Genomic DNA, 20,664 nt, shown 5'->3' on the forward strand with positions numbered 1-20,664 from the left:
AACACAGTACAGACAATGTGAAACAATCTCTAAGTCTAAAGAAGGACAATATGAGCAGCACAGGAACTGCCATCTCTCATTCTCTCTTTTTTTTTTTAAGAGACAGGGTCTCCCTCTGTTGCCCAGGCTGGAGGGCAGTGGTGCAATCACTCGCTGGGCTCAAGTGATCCTCCCACCTCAGCCTCCTGAGTAGCTAGAACTACAGGTGTCACCAAGTCCAGGTAAATAAAAAAAAAATTTTTTTTGTACAGATGGGGTGTTGCCCAGGCTGGTCCTTAAACAATTAGCCTCAAGCAGTCCTCCCACCTCAGCCTCCCAAAGTGCTGAGATTACAGGCGTAATGTGGCCTCATTCTTGTTTTCAAAGTTCCATATACAGAGTAGTAATCTTACATTCACTGAACTGCTAGAGTAACAGGAGAAAGCACAATGGACAGAATGACAGATCCCAGGAAACGCGTTTGGTAACGATGAGGCAAGCTGCCCTGGCACTATGCCTACACTCAATGCGATGTCCTACGTAGGATGTGCACATTCAAATACCTGTCAGTTCAACAAAGGCCAATCACAGAGTCCCATCTCTGAGATCGAGCATCACACAAGGGTAAATCCATGCCACCTCTGTTCTGGAAACTTTGGTACAAGTTCAAAAGGATCACCACTGATGAAGCTGGTTGGGACTCAGCCCCACCAGCCCCACAGGCTTCGTCCTTCCCAGTCTGCTTTATCCATTTCACCGGAACTCTTTTTTGTTTTTAAGAGAAAAGGTCCTGCTATGTTGCCCAGACTGGAGTGCAGTGGCTATTCACAGACATGGTGGCGCATTATAGCTTCAAGCTCCTGGACTCAAATGATCCTCCTGCCTCAGCCTCCAAGTGGCTGGGACTACAGGCGCATGCCACCAATACATACTCTATCCACATCCATTTCTTAGAAAGTCTGCGCTACTCTAGACACAATAGAAAGCTGTCTGTTTCACAGCAGGTTCTCCCCGTTGCCCAGTTTTCAAAGTTCAAACAAACTGCCCAAAGTTCATTCTCTTTCCCCTTCCCTCAGTTTCCCCCCCACCCTCATAATTACAATGCTTAGCAAGTAGTGGCTTTTTTTTTTTTTTTTGAGACAGAGTCTCACTCTATTGCCCAGGCTGGAGTGCAGTGGCATGATCTCGACTCACTGCAACCTCTGCCGCCTGGGTTCAAGTGATCCTCCTGCCTCAACCTCCCGAGTAGCTGGGATTACAGGTGCCTGCCACCGTGCCAGCTAATTTTTTTATTTTTAGTAGAGATGGGGTTTCACCATCCTGGCCAGGCTGGTCTTGAACTCCTGACCTCGTGATCCACCCGCCTTGGCCCCCCAAAGTGCTGGGATTACAGGCGTGAGCCACCACGCCTGGCCAAGTAGTGGCATTTTAAGTCTCAGCCTACCAAGCCAATCTGCCTGTCCCTTGGTACCAGCCCTCATTAGGACTGGCCTCCTGCCCTTACACACTTCCAACTTTTGCTTTGTGCTGCTTTATTTCTCTTCTCTGTTTTCTGCCAACCAGAAAACTGTTTTCCTACTGTTGGACAAGCTGTTCAACAGTGTCTTCAGATCTTAGCTAGTTTTGTTGATATTTTCTGTTCTTTCTCCAGAGAGAGAGAGAGAGACTGGGTGAGACTGAGACATCCTACTACTTGTGTGTTTAAGGCTAATCTGGCTGCTAAAGGCAGCTGGAAGCTGCTTGGTCTTCAGCTCCTCTTGCATGTCAGTAAAAGCAAGACACAGCTGGTCTCAATAAACAGACTATCCACAAGTGATGTTTGCAAAGTTAAGGTTGGGAGGTGGAAGCTCCATCTCCTGACCATCCAAAGACTGGTGGATGCCTAAATCCAACATATTAATACAATGAGTGCTACAGAGATAACCAAAGGTACAATGCTAGAACAGTTACTTTTGGTTATCAGAGGCCTGCACTTGATCAAGTTCTAGGCACACAGTACTGACATTTAAATTTAAATGCTATATGTAAACTTCCCATCTGTTCAGCTGCCTTCCTTGTAAAATAAAAATAAAACTTGTCTTAATCTTCTCAGAAAAATTCACTGCTACATAGCTACCTTCAATGTAAGAAAGTAGAAAAAAATAATGCACAAAGATTTACATACTTTTGTTAAGAAATACTGGAAAGAATCAAGAAATAGGATGAAGGGGACAGGGATGAAAGCATGACATCTCTAAATGTCTTTTTACTCAATTTAGATTTTGAAGCATGCAACAGGGAGTTTTTCATGTTTTTTATTGTGGTAAAATATACATGACATTTACCATCTTAACCATTTTTAAGTGTACAGTTCAGCAGCATTAAATATATTCACACTGTTGTGTTATCAGCACCACCATCCATCCCCAGGACTTTTTCTACCTTCCCAGACTGAGATTGTTCCCATTAAACACTAACCCCACGATTCATTCCCCAGAATTCATACCCCACACCCCCCAATAACCACCATTCTACTTTCTGTGAACTTGACTGGTACCTCCTATGAGTGAAATTCTAGTGTTTGTCTTTTTGCATCTGGCTTCTTTTACTTAGCATAAAGTCCTCAGGTTCATCCATTTTGTAGCATGGGTCAGAATTTCCTTCCTTTTTGAGGTTAAATAATATTCTGTTATATAGACATCTCACGTTGCTTATCTATTCATCTGTCAATGAACATTTGGGTTGCTTCCCCCTTTTCCCCATGGTGAATAATGCTGCTGTGAACACAGGTATGCAAATATCTGTTCGTGTCCCTGCTTTGAGTTCTTTTGGGTATATACGCAGAGGTGGAACTGCAGATCACATGCTAACTCTGTGTTTAATGTCTGAGGAACTGCCATACTGTTTTCCATAGTGGCTACACCATTTCACATTCCCACCAGCCATGCACAGGGGTTCTCATTTTCTCCCTGTAATTTATAAAGGGAAAAAAGCCCTTTATAAATTGGATAAACTGAAAACAATAAACTGAATAAAAATAAATGGAAAACTAATAATATTAATAACCAAAGTGGCAAAATAACCACAGTAAAAACAGTTATTTCACTTTTGCGCACAGTGCCAACAGTACTGCTTTAGTGAGGTATATCTAAGGACAAGAGAACAGCAAGGAACACAAACTAAAGTTAGGATATTTTTATTTTTTGAGACAGGGTCTCACTCTGTCAACTAGGCTGGAGTGCAGTGGCACAATCATAGCTCACTGTATCCTAGAACTCCTAGACTCAAGTGACCCTTCTGTCTCAGCCACCCGAGTGGCTGGGACCACAGGCGCACACCACCAGAACTGGCTCCATGGTGCCATTTTTATTTTTTGTAGAGATAAGGTCTCACTGCGTTGCCCAGGCTTCTCTCAAACTCCTGACGTGGAGCGATCCTCCTGCCTCAGCTTCCCGATGCACTGGAATTACAGGTGTGAGCCCTCTGCTCCCCTAGTAGTGATAATTTTGATACTATGAAACTGTTTTAACAAATAAATATACTGTTGTTAAGAACCAAGATTTCTAGCATTAAGAGAAACGAGCTACAAATATTAAACCAAAGAAGAGAAAACTCTGTAACGTTAAATATGAGTAAGAAATAGCACTCCAAGCTTGCGATTTAAAATGTGTTGTGTTTCCTAGCTTTGCATGTCTTGAGTGGACATAGAACTAATGACACTCCAACTGAACTGAGCACCCGAGAACATGGATTTGGGCTTTTTAAAAAAATTTATTCCCTACACTGATGTAAATCAATTATTATTATTTTTTTTTAAGCAAAAGTCTTGCTCTGTTACTCAAGCTTGAAAGCAATGGTATGATCTCTGCTCACTACAACCTCTGCCTCCCAGGCTCAAGCAATCCTCCCACCTCAGCCTCCTGAGTAGGACCACAAGTGTGTGCCACCCCACCTGGCTAATTTCTCTTTTTTATTTTTTGGTATTTCTTGTAGAGATGGGGTTTCACCACAGTTGCCAAATTGGTCTTGAACTCCTAGGCTCAAGAGATTCACCCACTTCAGCCTCCCGAAGTGCTGGGATTACAGATGTGAGCCACTGCACCCAGCCTGGATTTTGGCTCTTAAACATTAATACACACATATGAAAAGGACACAGGAACCAGCCAGCAGGAGTTTCCACTGGCCATATCTGAAATCAAGTGAGCAGCAGAAAACCCCATGACTGTGACTACAACACAATGAATAGTCAGTTGGCACACAGTGATTCACAAAGGAAGGATGGAGGGAAAGAAGCAGAGGAGTGAAAGGAAAACACTGATTTCCACAACTATAGGTGACTATCTTCCTTTCAAATGGATAAAGGACAGAATGAAACATTGACCCTGCTTTTTTAGAAGAATCTATGATGTTCTCTTATTGATGATAAGAAGTTTCTTTACAGAATGCCCGCTAATACATGTGAAAAGAATCACAGAATATGGAAATCATCTTTGACATCCCTGATGAAATAATGATTTAGGGATGCTAAGACCATTAGGTGAAAGGCTGACAGGAAACAGAATATTCACAAGGTACCAGTGAACCTCCCCAGATTACCTGCTGATGACGCAAGGCAACAGGAGCATCCGGCTGTCACCACCGGAGCCAAGTGCTGGGATTTGGCAACTTAATTAAGGGTCACATTATGTGCCTACTGAAGTGAAGGACTACTGAGTATACAGCATCCCCCATAAAACATTGCTAAAAACATCTCATCTGAATCTAAAGAAGGTCTTACACCTAACTTCCAGTTTATAGGAAATATACAGAAATAACACCGTAAAAAAATACGCAGGTTCAGAATATTGGTGACTCTGTACAACTGCTGGCCTATAACATGGTTCAAAGCCTGGTAAGAAATGAGTCTCGGCAGGGTGCAGTGGCTCACACCTGTATTCCCTGCACTCTGGGAGGCCAAGGCAGAAGGATCACTTAGCTCAGCCTGGAAAACACAGACAGAGACCCTGTCTCTACCAAAAAATAAAAAAATAGCCAGGCACAGTGGCACATGCCTGTGGTCCCAGCTACTTGGGAGGCTGAGGCTGGAGGATCGCTTCAACCTCAGAGGTCAAGGCTGCGGTGAGCTGTGATCGTGCCACTGCACTCCAGGCAACAGATCAAGATTCTCTCTCTCAAAAAAAAAAAAGAAAGAAAGAAAAAGAAAAAGAAAAAGAAATGCCAAGTCCACGGCAGACATGGATGCTGACTAGACCCTGGTTTGAAACAAAGATACTTTGGGGATAACTCGGGAAATAAAAATATAGACAGGGTATTAGATAACTTAACCTAAGGAAATATTATTGTCTTAGGTGTGAAAATTCTCACTAATTATGTCAAGAACGTCCTTATCTTCAGGAGATGCATGCTTAAGTATTTAGGCTGTTATGTCATCATATCTGCAACTTTTAAACAGCTCAGCCTGACACACATCTATACAGACTAAACATGACACAATGTTCACTGCTAGTAGATTTGGAAATGTTTTACTATTGTCAAGTTTCTTCTGTATGTCTGAAAAATTTAATGATAAAAGCTGAGAGTGGGGCAGCCAGCCCTGGCCTCAGGCAGGAGAACAGACCACGACAGGGCTCTGCTGCTCAGGGGCAGCGACCCACGCTGCTGGTCTCTTAGCCTCAGCCCTTCTCTGAGATGAAGGAGTCACCCAAAACCCACACTGTCAAATGATTTCTCTAAGGCATGTAAACACTTCTCTGAATCAGGTAAGGACTGGGATATAGGAAGCAACTGCAACACAACTGGCCTTACTTTCAGCCATCGGACTGTCAGTATCCAATTATTTTCAAGGAGTTCAGGCAAAAGCAGAATGAATGTAAAACTTACAAGAAAGGGGAGAAGAGGTGATGCTTACGCTCATGTTAGAGTCACATTCTCAGGCATGACTGTCCACAGTAGTTACCAGGACAGTAGTTACGGTGGCAAAAACTGGGCCAACAGCACTGCTTGAGGCCTGAAACCAGGCCTATAATCCCATCACTGCTCATGTAAACTGCAGCGACCGTGAATGAAACTGCTTCTTACTAATCCAAGAGCTTTTTGAACAAACGCTAAGGGTTCCAACTACTCTCCAGAAACCTCCCTGTACCACTGACTAGATTCAGCCTGGAGCAATAAAAAAGGCTTCCCCAAATGAACAACAGAAGAGAAACTACACTTCAAAGGATAGGTAAGTGCAGTCTTATACTAAGAGATGACATCTCTCTTATCTCTGGCAGAAAATAAAATTTTAATAGTCAAACTGTACAACAAACCAGAAAATACTCCTGGTCTAATTCATAATGCAATGTCCTTGAAGTGGAATTCTAAAGAAAAGACTTATGCCCTCCTTTAGCTGCCTTGGATAGAAGCAGATAATAAAACCAGAGCAGACATATGGTTTTCAAAGATTTAAAGAGAGAGTGAAATGAAACTGCAAAAGACAGAGCCAAGTAAGACATGGTCCTCTGTGCCAGTTGTTCCCAAGAAGTCCAAAGACATTACTTAACCCGTCTTAACTACTTCAGATTTTCTCTCTGGAGAATTCACCTAAAACTGTAACTTATTCAATGTGAAAAGTGACAGGTTTTTTTTTTGGTTTTTTTTTTTTTTTGAGATGGAGTCTCGCTCTGTTGCCCAGGCTGGAGTGCAGTGGTGCGATCTTGGCTCACTGCAAGCTCCGCCTCCCAGGTTCACGCCATTCTCCTGCCTCAGCCTCCCGAGTAGCTGGGACTACAGGCGCCCGCCACCACGAAAAGTGACAGTATTTAAGAAACTTCCTAGGCACAGAGAAAACACTGTGAATGGTAAATATGAATTTGTCCTTTTGCAAATGTAGGGAGGCAAGTTTCCTTCCACGTGGACACATGTGAAATCTACAACTGTCATCCACCTATGTCACCAGTGTTAGATCTCAGACAGAGCCTCGTCACACTGAAGACTACGTAACAGGGGAAGTTCTACTCCTTGAAGGTCTCGGGACCCTTCTACAGCTAACAGCCCTCCTTCCCATGAGCTCCTCTCAGTCCCTTGGTTACCTGACGTTTCCTCCAGCCTTCTGTATCCTCATCCGCTCTTCATACTGAGTTGGATTATGCTCTTTGCTGAGGCTTAAGGCTGCATGTTTTTGACTCTCCTCATTATAACGACACAAGATTGCCTGGGAAGATGGAGATTGTAATAGTCATGAAATTCAGTGGGCGCAGCATCTAAAGGTACCAGTTGAAAAAAACAGTTAACAATGGAGTTTGAAGAAAACAGTTAACAATGGAGTTTCACATTCAGCCTCCTGCTGATAAACGTAAGTTCAGAGAATCAAGCAGCAAAGAAGTGTCAAAGACACAACAGTTAGGGAGAGAGTCGCCCCTGGTTTTGATATCAACTCTGGTACAAACTCTGCTGAATAACTACAGACAAGTGCTCACTCTGGCTGTTGTCACATTTGTGACATGAAAGGAAGCACTCAACAAGTATCAAGGTCCCTTTTGGCCTGGAGTCTAGAAGGCCAGAGACATGTCCATGAGCCTATGGAAGGCAAAGAGGAGGGCAAGCGTTGTGCATGCTGGCCGAGTGCCAGGTAGGCCGTCCACACCAGTGCCTCCAGGTGTTCTCGCCCCTGCCAGGTTCATTGTGTCTGTTTTACAGGAAGACACTGAGGCACGAAGAATAAGTAACTCAATAAAGTCACAGAGCAGAGCCAGGATTCAAATTTGGGTCTGACTCCTGTCTTTGTTTTTTTGCCAATTTTCCTCTTGCTATTTCTGAAGTCATGTGGTCTAAACACATGTGGGCTAAGGCCAGTCTACTAAAGGGCCACCAGAATGTAAACTCCACCAGGCAGGGGCTGTCATCTGTTATAGTCTCTGCCATACCCCTAGCACTTAGTATTTGATGAATCATCCCCCCAGAAGCATCGTGGGGAGGGGTCTAAAGATGCTGCTTAAGTGTGGACAGTCACTTGATTCCTGTGACTGCCTAGGGAGCAAGGAGGCCGGGTGAAAAAGCGGCAACGGAACGGAACACATGGTCCTGATGCAGAGGAGGCAGGGTCTGCATCCAGCTTTCCGCAGCAGCACCCTCTAGGCTTTACAGCATCCCCACGACTGTCACCAGGGGGAACAACACCCTGGGCTTTCTCCCTCAGCCAGGGACCGGGCTCGGGTGATGAATGGCACCTCATCTGGTATTTTCTAGCTACAGCTCTCAAGTTACTCTGAAATCACAGTAACTTTGATAGGCAGGGGTTAAAGCTTTTCATTCATTACTGTCTAAGGTCAGAGAAAGGAAATAAAAGAAGATTTAGGCTACTTGCATACTGATTACATTCTGATCCACAGCATCACACACACAAACCACGGGAGGAAAAAAGAAACAAAAAAGACGGGATCTGGGTTTTAAAGCACAAGTCTATCATAGGGCGTAAGTTCCCCAGAGAACAAACAGCCTCTAGCTGAGTTGCTGTTCCCTTACCCAGAAGTTAAACTGCAGCAGAACACTCTGCAGCAACCCCAGAAGAAAGGTTTCAACCAGACACCATCACTTTAATCTTATTCAACAAGTACGTGCTAAAGTCTTTTCCCCATAAAACGTATTGTCATCTAAGTGGGTGGCTCCAGAGCCACATACCCGACTATCTCCGAGGTTGGCAATATAAAGAATGTTGTCTACAGCCAGAACACACGTGGCAGTGGACCCATCTTTCCAGGCAGGCTTCCTGGGGGGAAACACATCAGAAACACAGTCACCACCAATAGCCCAGCACTTTGAGACTAATTTCCAGAGCTCAATGGGAAGTATCTTATATTTCAAAATGAACCATTTCCTTGATACTTGCTTTTTTTCTGTTTTAGATTTAGCTAACGGTTATAAAAGCTGAGTGCTACGCACTTTTCAGACAGTGAGCAATAGTGTTAAACCACATCAGAAGACTGAAATGCATTTAGGAAAACACCACACACAGTCCACTCAAACTTCATCATCAAGTTATACTTACTGGCTGGAAGCTTGTTTAAGGAACTCTTCATCAGTATGCTTGAAAGTGTCCAAAAGGCATCTCTTCACGGTTTTCTCTACACTGATTACATCTCCTATTACAGAAGGGCCAAAAGAAAACAATCTCTCAAGGAGGGAAGATTATCCTCCTCCCACTGTCATTTTGGTTTGTTTTTTGTTTTATTTTTTTGAGACGGAGTCTCGTTCTGTCACCAGGCTGGAATGCAGTGGCGCGATCTCAGCTCACTGCAACCTCCGCCTCCCAGGTTCAAGAGATTCTTCTGCCTTAGCCTCCTGAGTAGCTGGGAATACAGGCGCGCGCAACCATGCCAGGCTAATTTTTGTGTTTTTAGTAGAGACAGGGTTTCACCACATTGGCCAGGCTGGTCTCGAACTCCTGACCTCGTGATCCACCTGCCTCGGCCTCCCAAATGCTGGGATTACAGGCGTGGGTCACCAGGGCTGGCCATTTTGTTTTTGTAATTTCTGCACATCAATTGATTTTCAAGCATGATTAAGAACAATCCCTATTTCTTTCCTTTTTTAAATTTTTTTTTCTGAGACTGGGTCTCACTCTGTCACCCAGGCTGCAGTGCAATGGTGCAACTGTGGTTCACTGCAGCCTGAACCTCCTGGGGCTCAGAAAATCCTCCCACCACAGCCTCCTGAGCAGCTGGGACCACAGGCACATACCACCATGTCCAGTTAGGTTTGTTTTTTTTTTTTATAGAGATAGAGTCTCCCTATGTTGCCAGGCTGGTCTCAAACTCCTGGGCTTGAGTGATCTTCTGGCCTTGGCCTCCCAAAGTGCTGTGTGAGCCACCGTGCCCAGCCAGAACAATCTCTGTTTCTTTCCTCACATATAACACAGTGCTATTTGAAGTTGGTTTACTAGTTTTCCAGTAAAGGCAAGACACTAACTGAACCCAAAGACGATTGACAAAAGGTGCCTATCACTTAGAATCATGAGAAGTGCCATTCTAAGTCACACCTGCATGGCCGCTACTCCTGGAAGCCTTGGCATCCACTCCTCAGCACCACTCTTTTAAGACTCATCAATGATTCTCTGCTAAAGCCAAAATAACACATCTGACTGCTTCACACAGCCAACCAAACAGCAATAACCAATTTGAGTATCAACTGATTTAGTTCTCAGTCTCACCTTTAGGAAATTTTCTGATTAAGTTTTGATGCAAATTCTGTGCAGCAAATTTTGAGGCTCGAATTCCTCCATGTCCATCAAAAACAGCAAAATATGAAACCCGAGTACTGAAAGAACGAATTGAGAGTTAATCAAATTCTCACAGCAAAAACCACACTTTTCCATTAAAGCTTTTAAATTTCGTCTCAAAGAGTGAACATTAATAAGTCAGAGGAAGTCACACTGGTTAAGACACCAGTCACACTGTTACAAATGGGAAAAAAAAGGCTTTAACTGAGACAAATATTTAAGTAACTTTCACAGCATTTTATCTTTTTTTAAAAAAAAAATACTTGTGTGTGGGCCAGGTGTGGTGGCTCATGCCTGTAATCCCAGCGCTTTGGGAGGCCGAGGCAGGCGGATCACGAGATCAGGAGATCAAGACCATCCTGGCTAACACGGTGAAACCCCATCTCTACTAACAATACAAAAAAATTAGCCGGGCGTGGTGGCAGGCACCTACAGTCCCAGCTACTCGGGAGGCTGAGGCAGGAGAATGGCGTGAACCCAGGAGGCGGAGCTTGCAGTGAACTGAGATCGCACCACTGCACTTCAGCCGGGGTGACAGAGCGAGATTCTGTCTAAAAAAAAAAAAAACAAAAACACTGTGTGTGTGTAGGTGTGGGAGTGTTTCTGGTGAAGACTGCAAGACCTGCTAAAGGTCTAATATTCTAAAAGAGATGTAACACTTTTCCCAGTATTTTACATTAAATGTTTAAAACTCACATTTGCTTCAAAGATCAAGATCTGTTAATTCTGATTTTTCACTGACAACAAAACTAAAATTCAGAACTCCGTTCCTATTTAAATCGGATTTGGTTTTAAACATTAACAAACAGATCAAGTTATTTATCGAAAACAGTAAAAAATACAGTCATGCATCACTTAACAGAAATGCATTGTTAGGTGACTTTGTTGTGTGAACATCATAGAACATATTTACAGAAACTAACACGGCGCAGCTTACTACACACCTAAGCTACATACATGGTAGAGCCTATTGCTCCTAGGCTAAACTGCACAGCATGTTACTGCACTAAATACCATAGGCAGTTGTAACACACTGGTAGTATTTGTGTATTTAAACATACCTAAACATAGAAAAGGTACAGTAAACATGGTATTATGGCTGAACACGACAGCTCACGCCTGTTAATCCCAACACTTCGGGAGGTGGCCAAGGCAGGAGGATCACTTGAGGCCAGGAGTTCAAGACCAGCCTGGGCAACATAGCGAGACCCCCATCTCTACAAAATTTGTAATCTTATGGGAGCACCGTCATATATGCAGTCCATCACTGACTTGATGTTGTTATTCAGCACATGACTGCATAAGAGCAGGGAGGATATTACAGAATTGTTACTCAAATAAATTTTAAATATCTCATTTTTAAAACCTATCTTACTACTCTTATTCCCATTCCCCTTTCAAATTTTGCCAGAAAACCCACATATATGGAATAAAAGACATCAAATAAACTATTTCAAGGAAAAAAAAAAAACAAAAATGCCCACGAGAAATGACATTTATTCTAGAGAGCTGCTTTTCTTTCAAGTTTTTTGGAATTCCTTTTCAATTTAGGACATCCTGAGCCATGAGAAAAAAAACCTCATCTGGTTTATAACTCAGAGCTGTTCTTACTGCCTGTTATTTGCAAGGCATGATGTAGTGTTCCCAATTAAATTTACACTCAATGGATCTGCCTTCTTGGGCTCCAGAGGTCCCTTTCCTGGTTTTAATGCAAATCCCAGGCTGGGTATGGTGGCTCATGCGAGTAATCCTGGCACTTTGGGAGACCAAGGTGGGAAGATGGCTTGAGCCCAGGACTCTGAGACAAGCCTGAGCAACTTAAGGAGACACTGTCTCTACAAAAAATTCAAAAAATTAGCCGGCTGTGGTGGCACATGCCTATGGTCCCAGCTACTCAGGACGCTGAGGTGGGAGGACTGCTTGAGCCTAGGAGGTCAAGCCTGCAATGAACTATGATTGTGCCACTGTACTCCAGCCTGAGCAAGACAGCAAGACCCTGTCTCAATGGGTGTGTATCTCGTCCCCTCTACATATGATCAGCTGCTCTGCAGCAGCCATCACCTCATCTCCATGAGCAGACCTCATCTACTGGACAAACGCCATCAGCCCAAACGGCTCCAGCACACTGTATGTTAATGACCAACTGGTGTCAGTAAAGGTACGTAATGTATTTATTATGTAATTCTGAATTATGTAACCTATGTAATATGTACTATAATGTATGTTTACAGCCAACTTAATGTCCTACCTTCTGGTTTTTTTCCAGGCCCAAGAGCTTATCCAGAAGGCTTCATTTTAGTTTGTATAGTTGCAGCTAATTTTTCATTGTCTGTCTTTTCCTTGACATCATTTTGACTTTTGTTCTTCCTGGGCCCTGATTATCTGTACTAGCTCTGCTTGATCACCATTCATACTTTAATTAGTGGCTTCCAACTCTTATCTTCTAGGTCATGGATTAAAAATATTCTCTGCCAGAAGCCGCTCAGTTGCTGGTAAGGAGTAACACACGCTGCAGAGCCATGCTATGAAGCGTCATCTCCCGCTCAGCAGGGCTGCTCAACCGCGACACTACTGACATTCCAGGCTGAACAATTCTTTGTTGTGGGGCTGCCCTGTGCTTCTAAGATGTTTACCAGCATCCCTAGTCTCTACCCACCAGATGCCAGTAACAACTCCCTCCCGCAGTTGTGACAAAAATGTACCCAAACACTGACAAATGTCCCCTGGGCGGGGAGCAAAATCAACCCCAGCTGAGAATCACTGATGTACAATCAAGTGATGTGTTAGATTTTCTAGTAAATACAAACTAGCCAGTCCAAAATGCCAGTCAGAACCCAGGAGATGTTAATGCCAGCCGGGCTTCCTACCACATGAGACTCACATGAGGGACGATGGGGGCCTACACTCCTCGGTGATGTCGTTCAGGATGACGTGGGCATCCTGCATCTCCTCCCTCTCACCCTTCCGCTCAGCCACATAGCCCTTCAGACCAAAGATCACCGAAGAGGCTAAGGAAAAGAGAACAAAAGAGCCAATACAAAACTGTGCCCAACCCTCTGGAAACCCTAGTCCCAGAGCAAATGAGAGGGAACTATGACTGTCTGACTCAGCAATATCCTAATGGCGCAAACAAATAAGCAATACCCCTTAAGGCATCTCCCCCAGCTGCAAGTCTATAACTCAAATCGGAGCACTGTTGGACAGGGTGAGCTCTAAGAGGTTGCACAGGGACACAAAAGAGGAGTCAGTGAGCACAAAACAACTCTGTCTAGGGTGTAAGTCAAAGCATCAGGGCAAGGGATGTGCTGCCATCCCAGAGAAGTGAGATTCAAATCAGGCAAAAGGATCATGTGCAAATTAGTCTTGTGATAATTGAATAAGGACAAATGCAAGTCAGGAGAGTTTATCTCAAAAGCCCTTAAGATGCCCTGAAAATATGTATTTCCATGCTCAAGGCTGGTGAAGAATTTGAACAAACAGTAAGATCAGCTGCTTTTACTTCAACTGAGGAAGAAAAGGATAAAAGATTCCAATGCAGGCAGAGATCTATTTACATTTAATGGTTAGACTCATTTAAGCTTATTTTCTGATACCTAATGCCAGACAAATAATAAAATGAACACTGTGAAGAGCTGTCTTCTGGGAAGTGACAAGCTAAGTTGAAGATGACATCTTCCCAGCAAAGCTACAAGTGGGTTTTTTCACATACCTCTGCCTGCATCATACAGCTTTCACTGAGGTAATCTGTGACAAAGGACAATGCAGTCAATGAAAATCCCACAGCTCGGGCCAGGCACGGTTGCTCACGCCTGTAATCCCAGCACTCTGGGAAGCCGAGGCGGGCAGATCACAAAGTCAGGAGATCGAGAGCATCCTGGCTAACATGGTGAAACCCCGTCTCTACTAAAAATACAAAAAACTAGCCAGGCGTGGTGGCAGGCGTCTGTAGTCCCAGCTACTCGGGAGGCTGAGGTAGAATGGTATGAACCCGGGAGGCGGAGCTTGCAGTGAGCCGAGATGGTGCCACTCCAGCCTGGGCGACAGAGCGAGACTCTGTCTCAAAAAAAAGAGAAAAAAAGAAAATCCCACAGCTCAAGAATACTTTAGTACCACAACTGAAGTATTCTCTTTAGTTAATACTTTTCGTTTTCTTCCTCACTAACTTTGACAAGTTACACAACTGACTACAAATTTCAACGGCTTTTTCCAGGCTTAGGGAAGCTGCCTACTAAGCTAAATCACGTAATTCAAAGCACTAATTGACAAACTGCAAACAAAGATTGGAAGTCAGAGAGAGACTAGGTGGTCAAAAAACTAACCATTCACTGCAGAAGGCTAAGAAAAAAACCACCTGTATTTTTTAACTCTTGAGGAACAAATGTAGGTTTCCTATCTGATCAAAGGTAGGATCAGAGATAGATGTACATGAAAAGTAGGAGAAAGCACAGAGAAACTTGGAAATTCATTTGCAAAAAGGGAACCCTACTTATTTCTTAAATACAGACATAAAAAGAAAGTATTATTAGAAAGCTGAAACTGGTTTTGCTCTGGGTTGTTTTAAAATATGAAGTCTAATACATTTGTTTTCAAATTGTCTGAAAACCTTTACAAACTTTCTTTTCCACAAGCTCTTCACTGCCATTCTTCTCTTCCTCGGAGGTTTTTCTCTTTGCTCCTTTCCCTTCAGTCTTTACCATCTGGGATATTGATGTGGCAAGAGAACCTGGAAATAAAGTAAAAGCCAGACAGAAACACAGCTGTAGACTGTTGGAAAAAGTCACTAGTAGACTGGGCTTCATCCTAGCACTCAAAGACAAGGTCATTTGAAGCAAGGACTGGCAGACACAGGCAGACCCAGGAGTTGTGTCTTCATGGTTGGCGGGGAGGGGGAGGGGGGTCCCACAGTGAGAGAACATAAAGTTAAGATCCAGGCCCTGAGTCAAACTGACCCTGCTGAAGGGGTTTGTAAAAGACTTTTCCCAGTGGTAAAAATACATGGTTTTTTTTGGCCTGTAGCATATACATGTTTTTATATCCACAGGCTCTTAGTGTTAAACAAACACTTACAAAATCTGTAAGCAAACTAACATATCCTAATCACGTTCCAAAAAGTAACAAGTACTCGAAAAGGCTCAAAATGAGGTAAATGGCAGCCTTTAAGAACTGTAATACATCCTTTCAAAGGCAAAATAAGGCTGCCACAGCTGTTCCCACTAGCAAAAGGATGAATCTGTACTCAAAGCTAAGGGAATCTGCAGTGTATGTGTTTGAAATGAGAAAAGTCAAGTTTCAAAGAGGTGTGCAACTTAATCTTTCAGTCTCAGCTGTCTTCACCCGTGCGTAACATGGTAAGAATACTGTCATCTCAGAGGGATGTTTGAAAATGGGTCAGGACAAGTAGGAAGAGCATTTGTCACAGTGCCTAACACATCAATCTCCAATAAGGGCAGCTGCTGTCCTAATAAATGACTTGAAATGTTCTCTGCATTTAGGTATAAAAGTATGCAACAGCCAGATGCAGTGGCACATGCCTGCAGTCACAGCTACTTCTGGAGACTGAGGCAGAAGGATCACTTCAGCCCAGGCATTTGAGACCTGCCTGGGCAAAGTAGTAAGACGTTTCTCTTTAAAAAAAAAAAAAAAAAAAAAAAAAAAAGGATGCAAGTACTTATTTACTTACTCAACCTACTCTTTGCCAGACATTTCTTCTTCTTTTTGTTTTTGACACAGGGTCTCATTCTGTCACACAGACTAGAATGCAGTGGCATGATCACAGTTTACTGCAGCCTCCAACTCCTGTGTTCAAGTGATCCTTCCATCTCAGCCTCCTGAGCAGCTGGGACTGAAAGCAGGAACCACTACACCCGGCTAATTTTTTAATTTTTTTGGTAAACACAAGGTGTCTTTTTTTTTTTTTTGAGACGGAGTCTACTCTGTCGCCCAGGCTCGAGTGCAGTGACGCAACGTCAGCTCACTACAACCTCCACCTCCAGGGTTCAAGCAATTCTCCTGTCTCAGCCTACAGGAGTGCACCATCACACCCAGCTAATTTTTGTATTTTTGTATTTTTAGTAGAGACGGAGTTTCACCATGTTGGGTAGGTTGGTCTTGAACCGCCTGTGTCAGACATTTCTTAGTGCTGAGGAAAAAGTAATGAAAATGTTCCTGCCCTCAAGAAGCGTAAATTAGTTGCACAAGGCCCTATTTCTGCAACAGTATAACATAATACACATATGCACCCTGCATAAGGCAACACAGATGTTTCCAACAGTATCTCTCCCAAAGGTCCCCATTAGTGTCCTGTGGCTTACTGTATGGGTTCCAGTTTTCCCCATATGGATGTGAAACTTTCTTCCTTTAAAATTCCAAAACAGATGGCCAGGTGTGGTGGTTCACACCTGTCATCCCAGCACTTTGGGAGGCTGAGATGGGCAGATCATCTAAGGTCAGAAGGTCAAGACAAGCCTGACCAACATGGCGAAACCCGGTCTCTAATTAAAATACAAAAAATTAGCCGGGCATGGTAGCGCCTGTAATCCCAGCTACTCGGGAGGCTGAGGCACGAGACTCACTGGAACCCAGGAGGCGGAGGCTGCAGTGAGCTGAGATCTCGCCACTGCGCTCCAGCCTAGGCAACAGAGCAAGGCTCCATCTCAAAAAAAAAAAAAAGAAAAAGAAAAAGGCCAGGCGCAGCGGCTCATGCCTGTAATCCCAGCACTTTGGGAGGCAGAGGCAGGCGGATCATGAGGTCAAGAGATTGAGACCATCCTGGCCAACATGGTGAAACCCCGTCTCTACTGAAAATACAAAAAATTAGCTGGGTGTGGTGGCAGGTGCCTATAGTCCCAGCTACTCGGGAGGCTTAGACAGGAACTTGAACCCGGGAAGTAGAGGTTGCAGTGAGCTGAGATCGCAACACTGCACTCCAGCCTGCCAACAGAGTGAGACTGTCTTAAAAAAAAAAAAAGAAAAAGAAAAAGAAAAAAAGAAAAATAATAAAATTTCAAAATAAAGACACCTTACAGGTTTGTTATTGACTTCTAAGCAAATTACACTGTAGTCTGAGAATGTAGTCTGTACAAGAAACAGATCATTGAGGCTTATTTTATGGCTTAGTACATAATCAACTTTTGTAAATGGTTCCTGCCCGCTTAAGAATGTGTTATCGGGCCGGGCAAGGTCGCTCACACCTGTCATCCCAGCACTTTGGGAGGCCGAGGCAGGCGGATCACGAAGTCAGGAGATGGAAACCATCCTGGCTAACATGGTGAAACCCCATCTCTACTAAAAATACAAAAAAATTAGGTGGGCGTGGTGGCGGGAGCCTGTAGTCCCAGCTACTTGGGAGGCTGAGGCAGCAGAATGGCATGAACCTGGGAGGCAGAGCTTGCACTGAGCTGAGATCGCGCCACTGCACTCCAGCCTGGGCAACAGAGAGAGAGACAGTCTCAAAAAAGGAAAAAAAAAAAAAGAATGTGTTATCGGCTGGGTGCAGTGGCTCACGCCTGTAATCTCAGCACTTTGGGAGGCTGAGGCGGACAGATCACAAGGTCAGGAGTTCGAGACCAGCCTGGCCAATATGGGAAAACCCTGTCTCTACTAAAAATACAAAAATTAGCCAGGCATGGTGGCACACGCCTGTAGTCCCAACTACTCAGGAGGCTGAGGCAGGAGAATCGCTTAAACCCGGGAGGTGGAGGTAGCAGTGAGCCAAGATTGTGCCACTGCACTCCAGCCTGGGTGAGAGTGTGAGACTCCGTCTCAAGAAAAAAAAAATGTGTTAACTTCTCTAGAAATCTAAAACACTAGACCCAAGATTATATATCCAAAAAATTAAGCTTGTTAATAGTGTTATGTAAATCTTCTAAATTTTTTACTACTTTGCCTTTTGTCCTGTAGATAAATAAGAGACAGCTATGCTGTATCTTCATTTCTTCTATTAAATCCCTTAACAGCCTTCTTTGAACATATTAACTTTCCTTTTTTTTGGAGACAGAGTCTTTCTCTGTCACCCAGGCTGGAGTGCAATGGCGTGATCTCAGCTCACTGCAACCTCTGCCTCCTGGGTTCAAGCGACTCTCCTGCCTCTGCCTCCTGAGTAGCTGGGACGACAGGCACATGCCACCATGCCTGGCTAATTTTTGTATTTTTAGTAGAGACAGGGTTTCGCCATGTTGGCCAGGCTGGTCTTGAACTCCTGACCTCAAGTGATCTACCCGCCTTGGCTTCCCAAAGTGCTGGGATTATAGGCGTGAGCCACCACGCCCAGCCAGAACATATTAACTTTCATTACAACTAAGGGTACTATCTTTATTGGGAAGGTTTCAGGCCACACTGTGAGTGTGAGGATGCTGCAATTTTTTGGTATGGGTCTACAGCCCTGAAGATTGAGAATTCTTATATAAGATGACTGGAGTACTTTTCCTAAAATATAGAAAATATACCTGCATACGAAATGGGATTACCTGCATTCCCCACTGCCCCCACACCATCTATCTCCCAACCTCTCCTAACCCTCACCTTCCCCAACCAGAGGAGCTCTACCTAAGAAGTTCTCATGAGACAGAATCATACCTTTGCCGCAATGGCAACAGGAATCTGCTCTATTCTTCCCTTCTACTTAATTAGGACATGAAAAGGAACATTTTCAGGAGGAGGTAGAGCCAATGCTACTAGCCTCGATACATTTGAGTCAAGCACTCTGTTTAACAAGGCAAATCGGAATAATGAACTCTGAATTTTTAAAAAATGTTAATAACAAAGTTAAGAGTAAATTAGTGAACTCTTAATTCTTAAAGGCAGTTCCAACAATCTGAACCTCAAGAAGTTAATATCACCAGAAAGTGATACAGTATTATCTTTGTGCTTCCAATTAATGTGCCTGTTTATAGTTTTAGTAAACCTTATGCTGTATTATGACTTAATGTCATCCAAAATCCCGTTAAAACCTATACATAAATTTCACATAAGAGTAAAATACTATGTATTATTTCCATCAGCACCTTGGATTTTTCCTACCACTTACCTGAATCGCCACTGCTAGCGGGTGGGAGATCATCAAAAAGCAAAGGTCCCCCTGATCCTGAAACACAGCAGAACACTTAGTGAGCCCACAAAAAATATGTAAGACTTAAGTTTCAGAATCCATCCCACCAGGACACCTATGTAGGTTACTGAAATAAACTCAAAACTTTGCGTCAATCCAGTGGCAACTCATACTGCAATGAATAATATCTTGAACCTATTTTAAAGTCCTATTATTTCAAAGGAAATAAAAATCTGCCTTAAAAAGTTAAATTGTACTTCAGGTAGTAAAATAAATACTCAAATGAACCAGAGAAAACTGCTCCACATTTCCTCGCAGTACTTCTCAGGGCTAGCGACTAGCAGATTTTTCTGCCTTACCTGATGCCATGGATTCAAAACTTAAAGACAGTCCAACACCTAAAACATCTGTGTGTTGAAAATGGGGGAAAGGGAAAAAGATTGAGACAACTACAATCCCAGGATGAGTAGAGACGTTGACACACACCTGGGAGAGCCTGAAGACTGTACCTGAGTCAGTACTGCTGGCCGGAGGGAGGTCATCAAAGAGCAGGGGTCCTTTCTGAGCTTCTTTCCCTAAAACACAGAAAACCTGTTTAGAGAGCATATGGTCATCACCCAGGACAGATTTTCAAAGAGGAAGATCATGTGGTCTCCCCTGCTTTGACACAAGTTTGCTATTAGATTCTAATTTTCTCCTTCCTGTTGGGCAAATTTTTAAAACATATTTTCTTAACAGCTTTTTTAATATGGACATCTGTTTCCAACAGTTACAGTCAACATAAAAGCAATGATTGATGCCCTAACAGGCATCTTCAGGGCCACTGAATATTTTGAGGAAAACAAGTATTTTCTTGATAATTTCATTATTGAAAGCATGAAACATTTAAAAGTCTTTCTTTAAAATAGAATCCTGGGAAGAAAAAAACTGATTCTAGACCAGGAAAACAATACTTGAGACTTCCTGATAGACGTTCAGAAATTTGGGGTGGGGTGGAGGAGGGGCCTTCAAAGACCTACAGGTTTATAAAAATCCTATTTCGGTAACATTCTGCAAGGGAAGAAAATCTGTTGGAACCTGGTGTCCCTAGCCCCAGCACAGTGTCTGATTCAATAAATAGCTATGGAGAAAATAAAGGAGTTTCAGGTAACCAAAGACAGATAGCCTCAGGAGAAAGTCACGAAACTCTTTTAACAAAAAATGTGAAGATTTACACTCCAAAAGTATGTCTTAAATGTTTTATGCCCAATTATCTTTTTCCACATAAAATTTAACGACCATTCCTTATTTTCCAGCTTTTTCCTGAAATTCTGTTTAAGCTATTAGATATCTGAACTGGCACACAAGAATCCAAGTTGAAAGTATACACGTTCACCTCCTGCAAAGTTCAACACACCAACCAAAC

The 20,664-nt window shown here is 43.3% G+C and overlaps 1 protein-coding gene across 5 annotated transcripts in view; it reads right to left on the bottom strand.

The window, feature by feature from the left end:
• Positions 1-20,664, bottom strand: part of ILKAP (ILK associated serine/threonine phosphatase) — a 33,294-nt gene that overhangs the window by 4,635 nt on the left and 7,995 nt on the right. Inside the window, exons 2-9 of one of the 5 annotated variants that reach the window (NM_030768.3) lie at positions 19,769-19,834; positions 19,239-19,295; positions 14,817-14,936; positions 13,095-13,221; positions 10,145-10,251; positions 8,984-9,077; positions 8,617-8,704; positions 7,029-7,150 (exon numbers count right to left, since the gene is read on the bottom strand). In NM_030768.3, the coding sequence (NP_110395.1) occupies positions 7,029-7,150; positions 8,617-8,704; positions 8,984-9,077; positions 10,145-10,251; positions 13,095-13,221; positions 14,817-14,936; positions 19,239-19,295; positions 19,769-19,834 (781 nt within the window). Of the gene's footprint in view, positions 1-7,028; positions 7,151-8,616; positions 8,705-8,983; positions 9,078-10,144; positions 10,252-13,094; positions 13,222-14,816; positions 14,937-19,238; positions 19,296-19,745; positions 19,835-20,664 lie in introns of those variants that run through there. The other 4 variants (XM_006712784.2, XR_007082537.1, XM_017005057.2 and 1 more) reach the window with 4 other exon arrangements.

This window comes from Homo sapiens, chromosome 2 (genome assembly GCF_000001405.40).
Source record: "Homo sapiens chromosome 2, GRCh38.p14 Primary Assembly".
NCBI lineage: Eukaryota > Metazoa > Chordata > Mammalia > Primates > Hominidae > Homo > Homo sapiens.